Here is a 470-nt window from a genome sequence, read left to right as displayed (position 1 = left end):
TTTTTTTTTTTTTTGAGACAGAGTCTTGCTCTGTCACCCAGGCTGGAGTGCAGTGGTGTGATCTTGGCTCACTGCAAGCTCTGCCTCACGGGTTCACGCCATTCTCCTGCCTCAGCCTCCCGAGTATCTGGGACTACAGGCGCCTGCCACCATGCCCGGCTAATTTTTTTTTTTGTATTTTTAGTAGAGATGGGGTTTCACCGTGCTAGCCAGGATGGTCTCGATCTCCTGACCTCGTAATCCGCCTGCCTCAGCCTCCCAAAGTGCTGGGATTACAGGCGTGAGCCACCGCGCCCGGCCCAGTGTTGGTTTCTTAAAAGCAAGGACCAACCGGGCACTGTGGCTCACGCCTGCAATCCTAGCACTTTGGTAGGCCGAGGCAGGTGGATTGACTGAACTCAGGAGTTCAAGACCACCCTGGGCAACATGGTGAAACCCTGTCTCTACTAAAATACAAAAAATTAGCTGGG

General features: G+C 53.0%; 1 annotated feature.

Moving 5' to 3' along the window:
• Positions 279-470: a silencer, noted in NCBI's record as "fragment chr9:34143547-34143738 (GRCh37/hg19 assembly coordinates)". NCBI's record gives its function as "represses an EF-1alpha promoter that drives an FKBP-Casp9 reporter gene in an ReSE screen in HepG2 liver carcinoma cells {active_cell/tissue: HepG2}" and the evidence as "EXISTENCE:reporter gene assay evidence [ECO:0000049][PMID:32094911]".

Source organism: Homo sapiens, chromosome 9 (genome assembly GCF_000001405.40).
Source record: "Homo sapiens chromosome 9, GRCh38.p14 Primary Assembly".
In the NCBI taxonomy this organism is placed as follows: Eukaryota; Metazoa; Chordata; class Mammalia; order Primates; family Hominidae; genus Homo; species Homo sapiens.
The sequence above is the reverse complement of the archived record's forward strand: the minus strand, read 5'-3'. Positions and strand labels throughout refer to the sequence as shown.